The 18,205-nt window shown below is 34.6% G+C and overlaps 1 protein-coding gene across 7 annotated transcripts in view, besides 1 other annotated feature; it reads left to right on the plus strand.

Moving 5' to 3' along the window:
* UNC13C (unc-13 homolog C) overlaps positions 1-18,205 on the plus strand; it is a 795,839-nt gene that overhangs the window by 432,227 nt on the left and 345,407 nt on the right. The window lies entirely within an intron of this gene.
* Positions 17,146-17,315: an enhancer, noted in NCBI's record as "experimental_39945 CRE fragment used in MPRA reporter constructs". NCBI's record gives its function as "activates a minimal promoter by MPRAs in K562 erythroleukemia cells, with activity observed for both the introgressed and non-introgressed 15:54579257 variant alleles {active_cell/tissue: K562}" and the evidence as "EXISTENCE:reporter gene assay evidence [ECO:0000049][PMID:34662402]".

Below are 18,205 nucleotides of genomic sequence, written 5' to 3' on the forward strand. Positions count from 1 at the left end.
GGCAGTAACAATATATGTATTTTTTAAACATCATTTCAAAGAAGAAATTCAAATTTAACACTGTACCTGGCCATGCATGAACTATATATAAGTACATAATATTTCAAAATATTTTCCACTTTACTGATAAAATATTTATTAACTTTAAGTGAAGCTACACTTGTAATTCTTTTCTATTTGTCTCCTTTTTAAATGCCAACTTTTTTAACATTAGTTCTTTCTGTCATCAGTTTCCTGAATTCTGAGATTTTATTCTTATTATACAGGTTCTATATCACTGGCTCCAGAAATACTATTTTGAAGCTACCAGTGCATGTTTTCATTTATCATAAAAATGGCATGAGAATTGCAGAGTTACCTTTTCTTTATAAACGGTTCTCTTTTGCAGAAAGAAATGAGTTCACAGTGAATTTATGTTCAGACGTTGAAAAATGTATACACATCACAGATGAACTCATCCATACCTTCCCCTCCCCTGACAGTTCTGCCCTGTGAACTGGGGTGGAAAAATATATACTGACATTCTGAAAATAAGATGTTTTATTAATAGTGTGACTTTAACTTCTGAGCTTTAGCTTGTCTAATATGAAAAATAGGGATAATAATACATACCTCACAGAATTGTTGTGTTTTTTGAGGTAGATACTATATATGAATTTCATAGAACTTGTTAAGTGTTAAAAATGATAGCTGTATTATTATTAGCATTAATAACATGATTATATCTTTGTGCTGAGCTTCAGGTCTTTACACTAAATATGACAGTAATAGTCCCATGCCAAAAAAGTTCCAACTTGAATAGTGAGGCCAAGGGAGAACCAATGAATAGGTTGCTGTAAAAAGAAAAAAAAAATTCTACTAAAATAAGAATCAGAGAACTGAGACTGGGAAATGGATCTGAGAGATAGTTTTGTCCAACTTGCTCACTTCACTGATGAGAAAATCAAAGCTCAGATGGGTTGTAGTACATTCGACACTACAAAGTAGTGCCCTGTTGTGAAGCCACAAATAAGATACAAGCAGAAATTGGGAAGTGTGATTTTTTTTCCCCCTACATCCAAACTCTTCACTTGAAAAATTGCTGCAGACCTAAACAAGGCAAGCAATCACAAAACTGGTAAAATGAAAAGGTAGTTGAAATAATTTTTCAACTTTGGGATTTGGCCTTAATTATCCCCCCATTAATTGCACTTTAATGCCCTCTAGAGATTTTAATGCTAAATAATTTCAATTTTAATTTTATTTATCTTACTTTAAAACAAAGAGTTTGAATTTATAATCTTTAAAATACTATAGATGTTGTGTGATTTCAGAATGGGGCACTCTGGACAGCATTTGGAGAGAACAGAGGCATAACCAATTAAGCCCTTACAGAAATCTGAGTTACAAGGGGTTGTAAACAAATGTTTAATTCCTAAAATATCACGTGAAGATTAATTAAGATAACACATATGAAAGCACTTTGAAAATGATAAAGTGTCATATAAATCTAAGGTGCTGGTTATCTTTGCTCTTTGATACTGAATTGTATAGTTGATCATTTCATAATTAATTATGACCTTCAATTTCACTTTCCTTTGCTACTGTTAATGAAATGTCTTATGCTTATCATAAACCATTCCCTCAGGAGGAAAACAAGTAAGTCTCTCTCAGTGAGTTATAGAGAGAAAATGCCAGTATGGTCTGCCAGTTTGAATAAGAAATTTGAGAGTTAGGAGATGACATTTTCTTCATATGTTGATGCTGTTCTCTGAGGACTCTATAGTTGAGGCCTTGGTGCCTCCTTTTTGCAAACTTCTGAAATAAAAACAAATTTCATGCTGACTCCCTGCAAGAGTTGAGGTAGGTCATAAAGCTGATAGTAGATATGTGTTACTTAATCTGTTTTTAATAGATATTAACCATTGGAGTAAAGAATTAAGTTAATGAAAGTCTAGTCAACAAAATGCCTGTGATAGGAGTGCAAATGTGTCCTCATTTATAGTAGCATTGAATAGGCATGGGAATGGTAGTTAAGTATTCTACGTATGTAACCGACTGGACAATCAGCTCCACTTACTTCTTGGAGTATCCATTTAATTCCACCTAATTTCCTGAGTGACCGTTATATGTAAAGCACTGTAGTTAAGTACCATGGAAAGTATTGACTTAAAGAGTGATTCCACGTTATACAAAAAGCTCTCTGGCCAACAAGATTATAAACCTGAATACCAGTACTATTCTGGGTCTAACATGTTTCTGGACCAATCCTTAACCTCTTTGAATCTCAGTTTCGCCATGGGAAATGTGCTAAAAGTTATTCCCCATCTTGACAGACAGTAACACTAAACTCATAATGCTGTAGTTTAGAAGCATGATTGTTTTGGACCTTTTGAAGTATATGGCAGCCACGTTCAATTCCTAGCTACCCAGATGTGGTGCGCAGAGTGCCTCAGGCCCATGGCTCTCCACCGTGCCATGTGCTGCTCAGCCGGGGCTGAGTATCAGTTAAGCATAAACTAAGCTCTATAAAAGATAATTTATTTAATACCATATTTAAAATATTTTGATAGCACAGCAGACTAATATTTTAAAATGACAGCCTGAACATAATCATGCATCTGATTTATTGCCTAGATTACCAGCAGTCTTTTCCTAGGCTATGTGGGAAGGGAGTATTTCCTCAGTTGTCTGAGCCATTTTACAGTGATGGTACCAACATCAGCAAGTCATTTGTCACAGAAGATGGTTCCACAGTTTCTAAAGCAAGGAGTTTAGTCACACTTTATGGGATTAGAATTTATTTATTTATTTATTTCTCTTTTTTTTCTAATCATTGCCTACATTGTGATTATGTCTAGCAGCAGGAAAATAATAATAACCAATTCTACTGTTCGCTTGCTAAATGAGATTGAGCCATTACCTATCCACATACAGCGAAGCCAACAGAACAGAATTTACATTATCACTGCTTCTCACTAGAATCTAAGGGTTTTATAATAAATAGCGGAAGGAGTTATGGAGAGATCTAAATTGAATGTCATAAAATATAAACTTAGGGTCACCAAAGAGAATTAATTCACAGTCAGTAAACTAGAAAATATCAAATCAAGATGCATGTTTAGAGCTATCACTGTAATATTCCATAGGCAGGGGTGCAAGGTGCTATGAACTTGACTTAGTTTTAAATTGAGAACCAAACAGAACTTAAATAAAATCTCCCAGATCTTTAGGGAGCAGTTGGGGGTACAAACAGCAATCTTTGTGGGTAAAAAGGACTGTTCTGCAGGAATCTGTCTCAGTCAGAGGAAAGAGAACCCTCTACAATTAAACTAGTACATGGAAAACGGATTAGGTGAGGACAAATTTTAATATATGAGAACAGAAAGTCCTTGCAGAAACCAGGAAAAGCCAAACAAATTGTCCCAAGGGCAGAAATGATTATGCTTGTTTATTCCTCTCTTCTTCTCTGAGAGTTTATTCACCTATATCTGTTTTTCCATCTTTCCATTTGCACACACACTCCTTTCACTGTGTCCCTATCTCCCTCCTTTCCCCGCTTTTCCCTTTCCTCGCTTCTCTGCACACTGATCTGATTCTTGATCACTACTCAATAGATTTTCTTGTTTTTCACTTCCCCATGGTATATCATAGCCTTGGCCATGTGTTTCCCAACTCTAGCACTCAGTTTGCTGCTGGAAACCTATTTGGGTTTTTCAATAATTAGCTCAGTTCATCTTTACAAAGCACCATACAAGTCCTGGGTTATTGGTCTATCAATGATTGGAACATCTTAAAACTATCACTTGTATGTTTCATGTGTGGAATGGAGACCAGGGAAGTCTTAATGGGGCATGCTAGTCACTCATTTGTGGGTTGAAGCAATTTCCCCTGAGTGTAGTATTACACTACAACCAACTGATCTAGCAGCATTTTCAAGATCCGAAAACTAAAATGCCAATCTATCTCTACTTGGTTCATTCCCTCACTTCTTGGATGTACCCCTTGTGTAGACCACCTATTTTGAAAGCAGAAAAAGATCAACACGCTAGTACTGTCCCTGGCCAAACTGGGAGTCTGCAGATCCCTGTTGACTCAGATCCATATGGTGTAAAATTCAGCTTTCTGAGCATTTTTTTGGTTAGTATCCGCCCCAACACTCTGTAGATAAATAATTCGTTGAACATGTATTTAAGTGTGAGGTACTCTCCACAGTGTTACAGACACTGAGGTAAATATGTAAGACACATGATTTTTTTTGCCCCAGAGCTTTCATTACAATTGGAGTGGAGATGATGCTGAGGCTAACATCGTCAACAGGGGGAGCCAGTCCTAGGGAGGTAGGGGAGAAGTGGTCAGTTCTGCCTGGTGCTGCCAACTTGACTTGACAATAGGATAGATATTTGACTCCAAATAAAAGATGTTTAAAGCAAGGTAATATTTGAAAGCTGGGCAAAAGAAGTTTTAAATAGGTAAGCAATGTGTTGAAGAAATATTAATGGCAAGGAAGAAATATCTAAAACAAAACCCAAATCATTGCAAATATCATTATAATTATAGGCATGGATATTTGTGTGGTCATTTACTGTATCTCAAATCCTATCATATGTATAATACTTCACAACTAATCATTGTCATTATGATTGTTGTTATCATTTTACAAATGAGAAACCTTTGGGAGACCAATAGATTTTTGCTAAATAATCCATCCCAACAAGCAAAATGGAAGAAACACAACTCATGCCTGTATCTTCTATTATCACATAAATATCCACTTAAAGGTGTGTACTATAAACTCTAAAGCAACCACTAAAAAGAGAAAACAAAAAATGTTATGGTTAAAAAGCTAATAAAGTAGACTTTTTTTTTTTTTTTTTTTTTTGAGACGGAGTCTCGCTCTGTCGCCCAGGCTGGGGTGCAGTGGCGCGATCTCGGCTCAATGCAAGCTCCGCCTCCTGGGTTCACCCCATTCTCCTGCCTCAGCCTCCCGAGTAGCTGGGACTACAGGCGCCCGCCACCACGCCCAGCTAATTTTTGTATTTTTAGTAGAGACAGGGTTTCACCATGTTAGCCAGGATGGTCTCAATCTCCTGACCTTGTGATCCGCCTGCCTCGGCCTCCCAAAGTGCTGGGATTATAGGTGTGAGCCACCACGCGCGGCCTAAGTAGACAAATTTTAATATCAAAAATGATAAATCCTATAAAGGGGGTAAAATAAACAAATGGGGGAAAACAGAAAGCAAATAGCAAGATGATAGACTAAAACTTAAATATGCCAATGATCACATTGCATAAAAAACATCTAAATGCCCCGAATAAAAGGCAGAGATTGTCAGATTGAATAAAAAAGCAACATGCAAGCATATCCTGCCTGTAAGAAATACACTTTAAATAAAGACACAAATAGTTATACTACTCGTAGGTAGGCTACTTAGAACACTTTGCCCAACAAGAACAGAATTATCTATCATTTTGAAGTACTCACAGGAGATTTGTGTTGATAGCAAATAAACACATGAAAATATGCCCAATAGCATTAGTTATTAGGGAAATTCAAATTAAAACTATGTGAAAATCACATCATACTTAGTATAATAGTATGTTCTTTGTCCCCTAGTATTATTTTTTTCTGCCCTTTTTTGAACCACTTGAATATTTTTTATAATTGTATATGATATAGTTTGTTGGGTTATTTATATCTCATTATTTTGTTATTCTAGTTATTGCTTTAGAGTTTATTATGTATATATCTTTAAGTTATAACAGCCTACCAGTAATATAATATTAATACTACTTCACATACAATATGAGAAAGTTATAATAATACACTTCTAGTTGTCTCCTCTATACCTTTATCCTGTTGTCACTAAGTGTTGGTGAGAATTCTCATAGAACTGGAATTCTGTTGTTGGTGGGAATATAAAATGGTAAACCACTTGGGAAAAGAATTCATTCCTTTATTGAAAAGAAAATATGTGTCCATACAAAGACTTGTATACAGATATTCATAGCTGCTTTTTTATAATAACTTAAAACTGAAAACAACCCCAAGTCTTCATCAATAGGTGAATAGATATCAATAGGTGAATAGATATAAGTCGTGGTAAATCCAGAGACTGAAATACTAGTTAATAGTGAAAAGGAATGAGCTGTAGGTATACACAATATCTTGGGTAAGTCTCAAAATAATTATGGTAAGTGACAGAATTCAGACAGGAATTCTTACAGTATAATTTCATCTATATAAAATTATAGAAAATGCAAAATGCAGACTAATTTCCAGTGTAAGAAATCAGATCAGTGTTTTCCTGGGGAGTAAGGAAAGGAAAGGATGAGAGGAACTGATTACAAAGAATCTCAAAGGAACTTTTGGAGAAACTTTTGAAATACAACTTTAATTATGTTAATCATGGTGATGATTATATAGGTGAATGCATATGCCAAGACCTAAAAATATTGTACATTTCAAATGTATGCAGCTAATTGTATTTTAGTTATACCCCAATAAACAGTTGAAGAAAAAACTCTGACAAAAAATAACTCATTCACTGTGTTAGCAGAGTCAGTATTCCACTAATTACACCCCACAAATTCAAGATGATATAAAATTGCTGCTTCTACTATGATGATTATGACCACACAGTAATATCAGTGATCCTGACCACCACCATCCTTTGTGGTCTGGCATTAATGGTTTACAGTGTTCAACACATCTAAAATCTAAAATACAGTATCATGTGCATTTACATCCTTACATTTATGGCTGAGAAAAATGTCTCAGACTTTTGTGAAATTGTAGATAGTATAGCCAGAACCCCAAGTTCCTTAATGGGCTAGTTAGGATGTAATACTGTTGTGAATTTTTTATACGTTACTCATTGAGTTCTATATAAAAAGTCATTACTCAAAATTAAAAGAATGTGCTATCTCAGGCATATCTACTACTTGCCTTTAACATTTTTCCCCATTAGTCTTACGACATTTGAGACCATTTTTGATACAGTCCTTCCAAATTTTTATGTACTTTATATATGTTACTGTAATTTTCCTCACCTAAGTTTTGAGCTACTTAAGGACAACCTCCTAAAATAATTTTGGGTATAAAGTAAGCATAAAAATATGTTTAATAATTATTTTCAAAAGATAATTTCTATAATTGATTTTTTTACCAATGAAAGCATCTTCTATAAACTTTTACTGTTAATTTAAAAAATTTATTTGCACTATTGCTTCACTCTTATTTCTCCTTTGTTTTCAATGACATTTTCTTCCAAATAATTCCAAAGACATGCCTTTCTTTTCTGTGCACGATACTCAAACATTATGATATGAACTCAGATGTTGACATTTTTATCAGCATCTCCACAATGTTTTCCTGCCTGATGAAATGTTAAGAATGCCTTTAGTCTTCATTATATGTTTGTTATTTTCTTTCAGTTATGTTTCTACCCAGTAAACTTTGAAGCTGATTTTGACTAGAATTGGACTGGGAGGGACAATAAAATGGATAGCACTTCTTTTGACTTAGTTAAAGCACTAAAATAAGAAGTAGGAAGTAACCTCTTGAGCTTTTATTATGATTAGATCCATATCATCTTTTTTCACCCTGTCCTTACAGAACAATGTATAAGGTTAAGAAAGAACAAGATGGAAACCTACCACTAACTCTGGGGGAACATTTGGCATGACTTTTCACTGCAAGATGATGCCTAAGGCGCCCTCTGGCATTCATAGGTTTATTACTTTATAGAACTCTACTAATTGGCAGATAATTAAGTATATGTGCTGGGAAAATTTCATCAAAAAGGAGACATTAACTTTATCTTTTTAATATTGCTGCTACAAGGGCCATATTTAAAATGGTTTAAGACATGCTTTAATAAATATTTAATTTTAAGCAATTATTTGTTCCTTGCTTTGTTCCAAGGATGAATTAAAACAAATAATTCAGTTGTATTTTTCAATTGCATGTTCAATCACAAGGATTGAGATGAAACCAAATGATTTGAACCCAATCTATTTCATAATATGAGAGTAATGTTGTAGAAAAAAATGATACAGTTGGGGGAAATTAAGTAGCTGATAAATTGATGAACTGGCACTCCAGGCGATCTCAGATTTTGGAGGCTACTCTACAGTTAGAGTCCTTTAAGTACAAGTAGTAGCCGGTGCACAGTCAGAGAGAAACAATCCCCTTAGATAACTTTCTGTTTATGGAAAAGGGATCAGCGTGGCATGCAACTCAAAAATAACTCTTATGTCAATGCTCTCTACCGACCTAACTTTCCTTACCATCTTTGGCCACTCCATCCTGACCTGAGACCTCTGACTATTTTGCCTAGTTTTTGCTGTGCCTTTTTAAATATTGGCACCCAACTCTCTTTTCACCACTTTTTAGAAATCTTACCCTTTTTCTTTATCAGCCACTCCTTATGAGTATGGATCTTGTGATTTTAGAACTCCAAGAAAATTCTTAACAGCCAGAAGTTTCTTTACTGCTCCCTACTTTAGAGTCACATGTCAGGTTAATATTCTCATGTGAGCTTGAAAGCTTTAGATTTCTTTGAGTAGACAAAATTAATCCCCTATCTGGCGAGAGAGGAATTGGGAAGTTCCCTGAGGAATGGCTGAATTTCTGGAAAAGCATTCACTAATGTCTAAATGATCCTCTCTAGGATCAATGCTGTTCTCAAATGAATCAAATTTAGTATATCTTGATGATCCCAGGGCTTCCTCAACTTTGTCGTTAAGCTGTACAATGCCGTTCTTCTCTCCATCTCCCCGACACTGATCTCTTCAGTATCTTTAATAATCAGACTAGGTTTTGTGAATGCACTAGTTATTTTTTTTAAATGTAATATCTTTCTTATACTTGCAAAGCACATACTGGATTTTCAGTTAGGACACATCCTTCTTCATCATGCAGAACTGGTCATTACACAATCGAGCCATGTGAAATTCTTGACATTTGACCCTTTTGACCTATAAAAATGGAAATATTATATGGTTCAACCTAAAGTAATCGCTTTCATCAGAATGATTTCTATGTGAACCATCAGTCTTACCTCTTTATCACCTAGAGCACAGTATTTGTTATACTTTTTAAAATATAAGCTATGCTTATGTTTGATCAAATTGGGTTGTTTTATGTTTTATTACACAAACTTTTGGAAATATTAAATACATTCAAACAGGTGTCTGGTAAATTTTTCATTCAGATGTTCATAAACATATTTATTCAACTTTAGTTCTTATGGCACTTAAGTTTGCATTTTAATGATAAAGGGCAATACTGCAGACAGATGAGTACCAGTGCCAAAATATGACAGGTGTTGCCAAGTGTTTTGTGGTATTTGTGCAGTGACTTGGCATTTTCAAAAATTCCATCTCTTTGCATTTTTCACATCTAGCAAAAGAGCCCAGAGAGGACTGAGGAATAACCAACATTACTATTTGTGAATTCTTAAGAACATTTGCTCCGTTTGAGATAATTGGTTGAAGCTTAGACTTAAGTGGAAAAGTTAATTGGAATGTGAGATTTCCTAACATTTCTCCAGCAGTTCCTTGGTGATTAGTACAATCTTCTTTGTATAAGCCTGTACTGTGCTGTTGTATTGCTCATGTTTGGGATGAGAGGGATGTTAGTTGACAGTGTTTACTTTTGTGATTGCCTCTCCCGATTCAAGTTTGGTGTTCAGATAAAGTCTGTTTGGGAAGCTGATGGAACCACAACTTGTTACTGGCATTTCCATCATTGCCTCAAAGTTTCTTGAAAGATGGCAGCTCTTCTTTTCTAGCAAGGAAGGTGGGGGAATAGCTAAGAGAAAGGATGCCAGGTGTCTACAGAAATGAATGCTGACTGATCCTGTTTTCTTGCCAAAAATAAACTCTGGCTATTGATTTTGTTTAACTCTTTTTCTCTGGCAAGAAATATTTATTATCTCCCTAGAGGTCTTTTAGATGTGGGAATGTGAAGCTTTTCATTAGAATGTTTTTCTGTTCAGATAGGCTGGTAAGGAAATAGAAAAGTATTGCATGAATATTTATGCCTGTATTTTGTTTACTGTAGGATGGATGTGCTCCCTAAAAGTCAATATAATATAAAAAGATAGGTTTTCAATGATCTCATCAGCAAATATTAAACAGTAAAAATTCTTAGTGTTAATGAGAGTACAGAGAAGCAGATAGAAGGGTAAGCACATACGTGTTTCTGGATAACATTTTAGTAATGTGTGTGTATACAGATATGCATATAATATGCACACCTTTAAATCTAGCAAAGCTACTTTTAATAATTTGACTAACATATTTTCACAAGTTTATAAACATATACATATACAAGGGGTTCTGTGGTTCTGTGTAGTATTGCTTCCAACAGTAGATAAATGGAAACTACTTAAATGTCTATCTACTGTATATAGGGGAATAGTTAAATAAATTAGGACACAGTAATATAATGAAATACAATATACTTATTAAAAAGAATGATGTGTCAGGATGTACCCAATGTGTTAAGTTAAAGGGGTAAATGATATGTACAATACGATCCCATATTTGTCACAATTCAAAGTAGATACATGTATCTACTTTGATAACAATATATCAAACTTTTTAAAGGCAAATACTAATACTAAATAATAACTTTCTATTAAAATATTGACAATAACATTCAGTGAGTCAAGTAATGAACTGGATACAGCTATCACAATAAGAATTGTGCTCATTGCAGACGGAAATTGATAGAGGAGAGTTCCATATTTCTGAAAAACCCATTGTCTCTCTCTCTCTCTCTTGCTCTCTCTCCATATATATGTATACATACAAGTATACATATATAAACATATATGTATGTATATACATACATATACATATATACATATATAAACATATGTATACATACATATATACATATATAAACATATGTATACATACATATATACATATATACACATACATACATACATATATATATATACACATATATATATATATACTTTTTAAAAAAATTGTGACAGAGTCTCACTCTGTCGCCCAGGCTAGAGCACAATGGCGCAATCTCTGCTCATGGGAACCTCTGCCTCCCAGGCTCAAGCGATTTTCCTGCCTCAGGCTCCTGAGTAACTGAGATTACAGGCATGTGCCACGATGCTCGGGAAATTTTTGTATGTTTAGTAGAGATGAGGATTTGCCATGTTGGCCAGGCTGTTCTCAAACTCCTGACCTCAAGTGATCCGCCTGCCTCAGCCTCCCAAAGTGCTGGGATTACAGGAATAAGCCACCATGCCCGGCCAACACTCAATATTTTTAAAAGTCTTTAAACTATCCATATACTTATACAGACTGACTATATAAGCATTAAAAACAATTATAATAGTTTATAAAGTGCTATTATTTTTCCAAAACTTTTATATCCACAATTTTCTTTCCAATTCACTCATTGTTACTAGTGCAAAATGTTTATTAGTCTTTATACAGAGGTTTCCTTTTCTGAAATAAGAAAGTTGGATCATACACTCCAGAAAAATGCTTTGTGTTTAAGATTTATTATCAAGACACAAATGCTAAGATCTTTCAGAAAAGGACAAAGAAATACTGAAAGGACTGAGAGAGAGAACCAAAGATATACTTAAAGCTAAATATGTAGTTGTATGTATTTTTTCATGGCATTTTCTTTATGGGTTTGGCATGTGGTGTGCTGGTCATTTGCCTTTCAGCTCTTCTATTCCTTAACTGCTGTTATAGTTTTCTGGTAATTTACAGAATGCAACAGTGGGAGAAATTAAAACCACCAACTCTCAGTCAAATACGAAGTTGAAAAGAATGCATGCATTCATTCCAGAGATACTTACAAGTATTGCTTATGTATCTATACACTCCAAAGTGCTATACTAAGTGATACACATGTACACATTAATCCATTTAATTCTTACAACAGTATTATGAGGTAGGTATCATTATTATTATCACCATTAAACAGAAGACAAAACCAAGGCAAAGAGATTAAGTAGTACAATAGTCAACAAGTGGTGGAACCAAAAGTGAACTCTCATTTTTATTTTTTTTCTTGTTAAGTTTTACTGTGGTATAATATACATATGATACAATTTATTCATTTTAAGTGTGCATCTGGATTTGTTCATGTAGCCTAATGTTTTTGAGTTTCATTCATGTGGGGTATGTCTCAGCAGGTGGTTTCTTTTTAATAATGAATACTATTCCATTGTATGGGTACACTACATTTTGTCTCTTCTCCAGTTGGTAGAGGTTTGAATTGACTCTACTTTTAGGTATTATGAATAATGTTGCTTGAGCCCTTAATCTTAACCAGTATTCTGAACTACATCTCCATCATATGAGTGATTTTTAGGTAACTACTGTAAAAAATTTTGCTATCTCTAGTTCTGATCATGTATGTAGTTATATATACAGAATCATAAATATATGAACACATGTATACATACATATACACATACATATATATCATCAATTCAATATGTATATATGTGTAATTATGATGTGGGATATTTCTCAGCCCCTTCGCCAGACTTGTAGAAGGGGCGCCCTCTCTACTTGTCCCACTGCGCTCAACCTCTTGCAGGAGTGAGCAAGTGAGCGTGGGATATAGCCAGCTGCTCTGAGTATAGGAGTAAGCCCCATGTGGGACCTGTGGCCAGACCAGGTGTGTCACTTCAAGGGGAACATGGCACTGCCCAGGTGAGGGTGCCCACGACCCCAAAACCCCAGAGGGGGTGTTACAGTGCTTCTTTACTTTTGTTGTCCATGGATGGTGGTGTGTTAGCAGCTCAGTTGGCCCCTTGCCTCATCATGTGGGGTGGGTGCCCTCTGCTGACAAGTGCAAGGGGCCAGTGTGACAGCCTTTTCTTCCTACCTGCACTCAGTGGGTCCCAAGCTCTTGTCTGGTGTCCAAGAAGAATGAGGTCATGTGGACAATTGAAGGATGGTGAAGGTGGAGAATTCTATTGAGTGATGAAAACAGCTCTCAGCGGAGAGGGGAGCTAGAGAGGGGACAGGAAGTTCAGGTCATCTTTGCTGGAGTCTCATTGTCTCTCCCTCAAGGTCAGGCCGTCTCTCCTCTACTGACTGAATCTGGGGTCTTTATAGGCACAGGATGGTGTGTGCATGCTGACTGGTTTGTGAGTATGCAAAAAAGGTTAAAGTGAAGACCTCACTCAAAGGTGGACATGAAAACGTAGAAAACCAATTAGGAAAGGGCAGGTATGTATAAAATAGATGAAGGGTGGGGATCAGTCAGAGGATAGCACATCAAACAGGAAGACAAGTTCTGAATCCAGTCCAAGGATTTAACTTGCAACTAGGCTTTCAGGCTTTAAACTGTATTCAGCTTTGAGGAGGGGTTTCACCTGCTACACAACCCTATCTGCCTAGGCATCTGGCTGCCTCCTGTCACTATCAATTATATACATACCTTCAACAATATGGGTATATATACAAATCCACATAAAACGATGTATATATCCAATCATATATATACACACACAGAGACATAAATATATATACAAAAGAATATAAAATTTAAGTATTAGAATCATTATAATCCCTACATTATAAGTTTTTTTGTCTCAGTGATCCATTGTAAAAATTTCCACATTGTAAAAGATATTGCTAAACCTAAATGTTTAATAATTGATTATGATTTTATTGTATCAGTATATATACATTATTTAATCAATCTCCTGGGTTTTATAATTAGGAAATTAGAATGTATTATATTTTATATATCTATGTTGACATGTCCTTTGCTGTTAAGGGTGGAATATATTTATACATTTGAATAATGTAATTAGTTACAAGCAGTTACCTGTAATTAAAAATCTAAGTGCCTAGAACATTTCTATGTGATATATATGTGTGTATATATATATGTGTGTGTGTGTGTGTGTGTGTGTGTGTATGTAATATTTAATCCCCTTAAAAGTAATTATCATTACTTCAGTTTTATCGATTGGGCGCAGAGGCTCAGTGCAACTGAGCAACTTTCCCGAAGTCGTATTGCTAGTGAGTGGCTCCAATGGAATTTGAACTAGACAGGTCTTTTTCTAAGCTAGTTCTATTATTCCATCATGTCTAATACATATTGACCTTGAAAGTGAAATACAAAAAATGTGTAACTAATACTGTGAATCACAGATCTTTGAATATTATAGCTAGAATAAGAAAACCACAAACAACAGCAACAGACACTGTTCCAGTCCCTTTACAGTTGTATGATCTTTTGTTCCTCATTACAACCAATGACTTTAGAGATTATTGATGTTTAGCTCTTTGTTCTATGGACGGGTAAATTTTTAGAAAGAACACATATCGCCACTTAAATAAAAGTCAGATTTGGGAAGATAATTTCCTTATTAAAATATCAAATAAATATCAAACATACATCCAAAGTGGATCTTGTTTCTTCAAACAAATAGTTTAATTTCTGCTACAATAATTATGCCACTAATTCAAACAAGTATATTTGTAATATCTAATGAGGAATTAAAAAGAGAGTATAATTACTCCTACCTGTGATGTTTCTCTTATTTATTATGCAAACGATTTTGAATACCTACTTGCTGCAGGCACTAGAGCTTGGAACAAACAAAAAACTCCCAGGACACTTTCACACAGGGATGAATCTTTATGTGGGTTTTGAAAGACAGGTAAGTGTTCACCAGAGGAGTAGGGAAAAGACATCCTTAATGAGGAAAAACATGAATACAGGGTTTGAGCTGGGAAAATACAAGGTGAACCAAAGAAATGGTGAATAGAAATCACCACGAGCACATGTGCACACTTGTGCACACACACACACACACACTTCTAATTTCTTGAGAGAATAATCTGATCTGCCTGTTCGCTGATATCTCTCTTCTTAAGTGGTCTCTCTTTTCGTAGCAAAATGAACACGGGGTATTTTCCTAAACAATTTTTTATGTTTATTATTTTAATAATTATATTTTACATTATAATTTTGATAGTATTTTAAAAACTTAGTATTCACTTACTGTTATTATTCAACTGTTTTAATGTTATTTATTAGTCATCAAAACAGCTGTTAAAACAAGTTTATTCTGCAACTTTATCTGCGGAGAAATTATTAGATATAAACATATAATACAAGACTTTGAAAGATTTATAATCTAATTGTGGGTTCTAGAAGGTGGTTCAGGGAAATTAATGTAGTTTATAAGGTCATATTTTGCCCTTTGTTTCTATGATCTGTTAAAACATAAGTGCTTTCTTCAGTCAACCCTTAAAAGCCAGTGCATGAACTCCTCTTTTCCTTTTCCAAAAGTCATGCTAATAATATAATTCCTTTCTTGTTCTTATTTTCATTGTTTCCTATGTTATTGACTTCTGAAATGGATTTACAGTGCCTTAATACTACAAAGAAAAACTATGAGAGAATTTAAAGTGTTGAGGACTCTTTTTTTTTTTAAACTCCAATACTCCAATAACTAAATTGCTCCTGTTAAATGTAGGTGAGAAAAGTTTCTCTGCATCAACACTGGGTTTTGAAGTCAGAGTTTGTCCATCTACTATAATAGAATTTGAAGATAATAGTGTTAGGGATCTTCATGCAATAACAAGTGAGATACCGATATTGCAATAGAAGTGGGTTACATAATTCATGATCAATCACTAATAGGAAATGTGAAAGTTGAGTGTCTTATAGTATTTCCATTTGCTGGGTCAGAGTTTAAGGAATTAAGCTGTAACTAGAGAATTTAATTACTGTTTGAAAGGCTGCCGTGGCTGCTTTGCCTCGAGATGGCTCTGGCAGGAGGTTTCTGCTGATGATTTTCTCAACTGATGCCCTGCCTTCCAGGCCGAGCTAGAATGAGATCATTCATAATTACTAGAAGATATTTGAAACTACATTTTTTATTGTAACAGAAAAAATATAAATAATAAAATAACATTTTTCACAAATTCTATCACCTATATTTTGATATTTTGATATATACGCTTATAGCTTATTTTAATGAATATATATTTTTATATACGTATATATTTATTAATCATGTATATTCAGTAGTTACTTATTTTATTTATTTATTTTTTTTAAGACAGAGTCTCGTTCTGTCACCCAGGCTGGAGTGCAGTGGTGTTATCTCAGTTCAATGCAACCTCCGCCTCCCCAGTTCAAGCGATTCTCCTGCCTTAGCCTCCTGAGTAGCTGGAGTTGCAGGTGTCTGCCACCATGCCAGGCTAATTTGTTTTGTATTCTAAGTAGAGACAGGGTTTCACCATTTTGGCCAGGCTGGTCTCGAACTCCTGACCTCAAGTGATCTGTCCACTTCAGCCTCCCAAAGTGCTAGGATTACAGGCGTGAGCCACTCTGCCTGGTCCATTATTTATTTTATCAGTATATCTTTTAATAAAAGCTGGTACAATACTATTTTAAATATTACAGGATCTTTTTACAATTAAAATATGTAGCTAGAAATTTTAGATATTCTTAACAAACGTGATTTCTAATGGTGACAGCACTTACTATTGAGATTTTTCTGGTATAGTTGCAGTGTGAAGTATATTTTAGTTGCTTCATTAGATCTAGCCCAACTATAAGTGCAGTTTTCAATATTTAACAGCTCTCTTCTACTATACTACTTCAGCAATGCTGTTGTATTCCGAGATGGTTACTTGGGCAGGAATTTGTTTTTTTCCATTGAAGTCAGGCAATCAGGCTTTACTGACTATGAAAGCCATGAGCGTTTCTCTAGGTAGAGCGATCCATCTCATGATGGGTTAAACTCTGATAACTTGGCCAAAAAAATTTTGCTTTAATGATAGGAAATATCTATTTAGACCATATCTAGGAGACTCTATATCTGAAAATATTTGCAAAGGTGGAATAAGCAATTATAAGGAAATTAGTCATTTTGATGACTGCCAAAAGGAAATTGGCCAAATAAGTGATTGGCTCTGCAGAGCACAGCACCTGTAAATTAGAAACTAAAATCAAAACAAAACACAGACACACATACAATAATACTGAGGCCAGAAAAGGAGTATATTTTTCTTTAATTTTGAATGGAATAAAAGACCTTATTCCCATGGAAACAAAACCAGCTCTCTCTTTAACAATGAAAACATTTAAAATTAGAAATATGAATCACTCTTTAAGAAGAGAATTATTTTTAATTAAAGGAAAACTGCAAAACAAATAACTTGGCTCTAGCAGTACTTTATTTATCAAGTTTGTGCAGTAAAAATTCTTAATTTCTGTTGATAAAAGAAAAGCCAAATTCACAAACTGGTAAACCCTAAACCCGGGGTCTTGGTTAAAAAATTATTCAGTTCAGAAATGGTTTAGTGAGACTATGCATTCTCCCACTATTACACATGATAGATTTTTTTCCTCTTGTATGTGAGGATATTTCTCTTGCTGTCAAATTGTTTACTACAAGAGCCTACCATTTCCCAGCTAAAATGCAAACCTGTATATTTTCATAAAAGTCAAGGTTTGTGAAACACATTTTAAATAGCTAAGGAATACCATAGAACACAGCAAGTATAAAAACTAATAAGAGTTCTTAAACTTATTTAAATTTATTTCAGATATAATCAAACAAAATGAACTTACTATGTTTTTTATTCTTTTCCTACTTGATCCAATCAGAATTGCATTAATCTCACATTAAGCCACAGCTTTATCAAAGAAGACATTCATTTATTTCATTCAACAAGAAGTTCAGATATAAGTATGGTAACTCAATTATCCCTTCAAAGAACAAAGCTTATTTTATCTTCCTATTTTAACATTTTTAGTGAAGCCTGTTCTACATCCATGTTTCAGGGTAGTAAAGGGAGAAAAAAGAGGAGACAGCATCAGAATACTATTGCTCATATCTCTTTGGAAGAACTTTGTCTAATGTCCATCTCTAGTTGCAGGAGAGGTTGGGAAATTGCATAAAACTAAAAAAGGGAAGGAGGGGAGTGGTTTGAAAGATTGTTGTATGAGTGTACTTATAGCATCTGCCACCAACAACCTCTTTAGCTTCTCAGCATGTATATATGACTTTTCTACATGTATGTTTACTTTAAATGAAGTGAATTCATTCTCTTCCTTTCAATGTAGGTAATCTAAAAATTATATTCAGTTACTGCATTTAGCTTGAAGTCCAGGATCTTTCTGTAGTCTCTTCACAAGCTTCAGGTTTGGTTCTTTGTAGATCCTGGGACACAAATTAAACACTAT

The sequence above is a fragment of the Homo sapiens genome, chromosome 15, assembly GCF_000001405.40.
Source record: "Homo sapiens chromosome 15, GRCh38.p14 Primary Assembly".
Taxonomy (NCBI): Eukaryota; Metazoa; Chordata; class Mammalia; order Primates; family Hominidae; genus Homo; species Homo sapiens.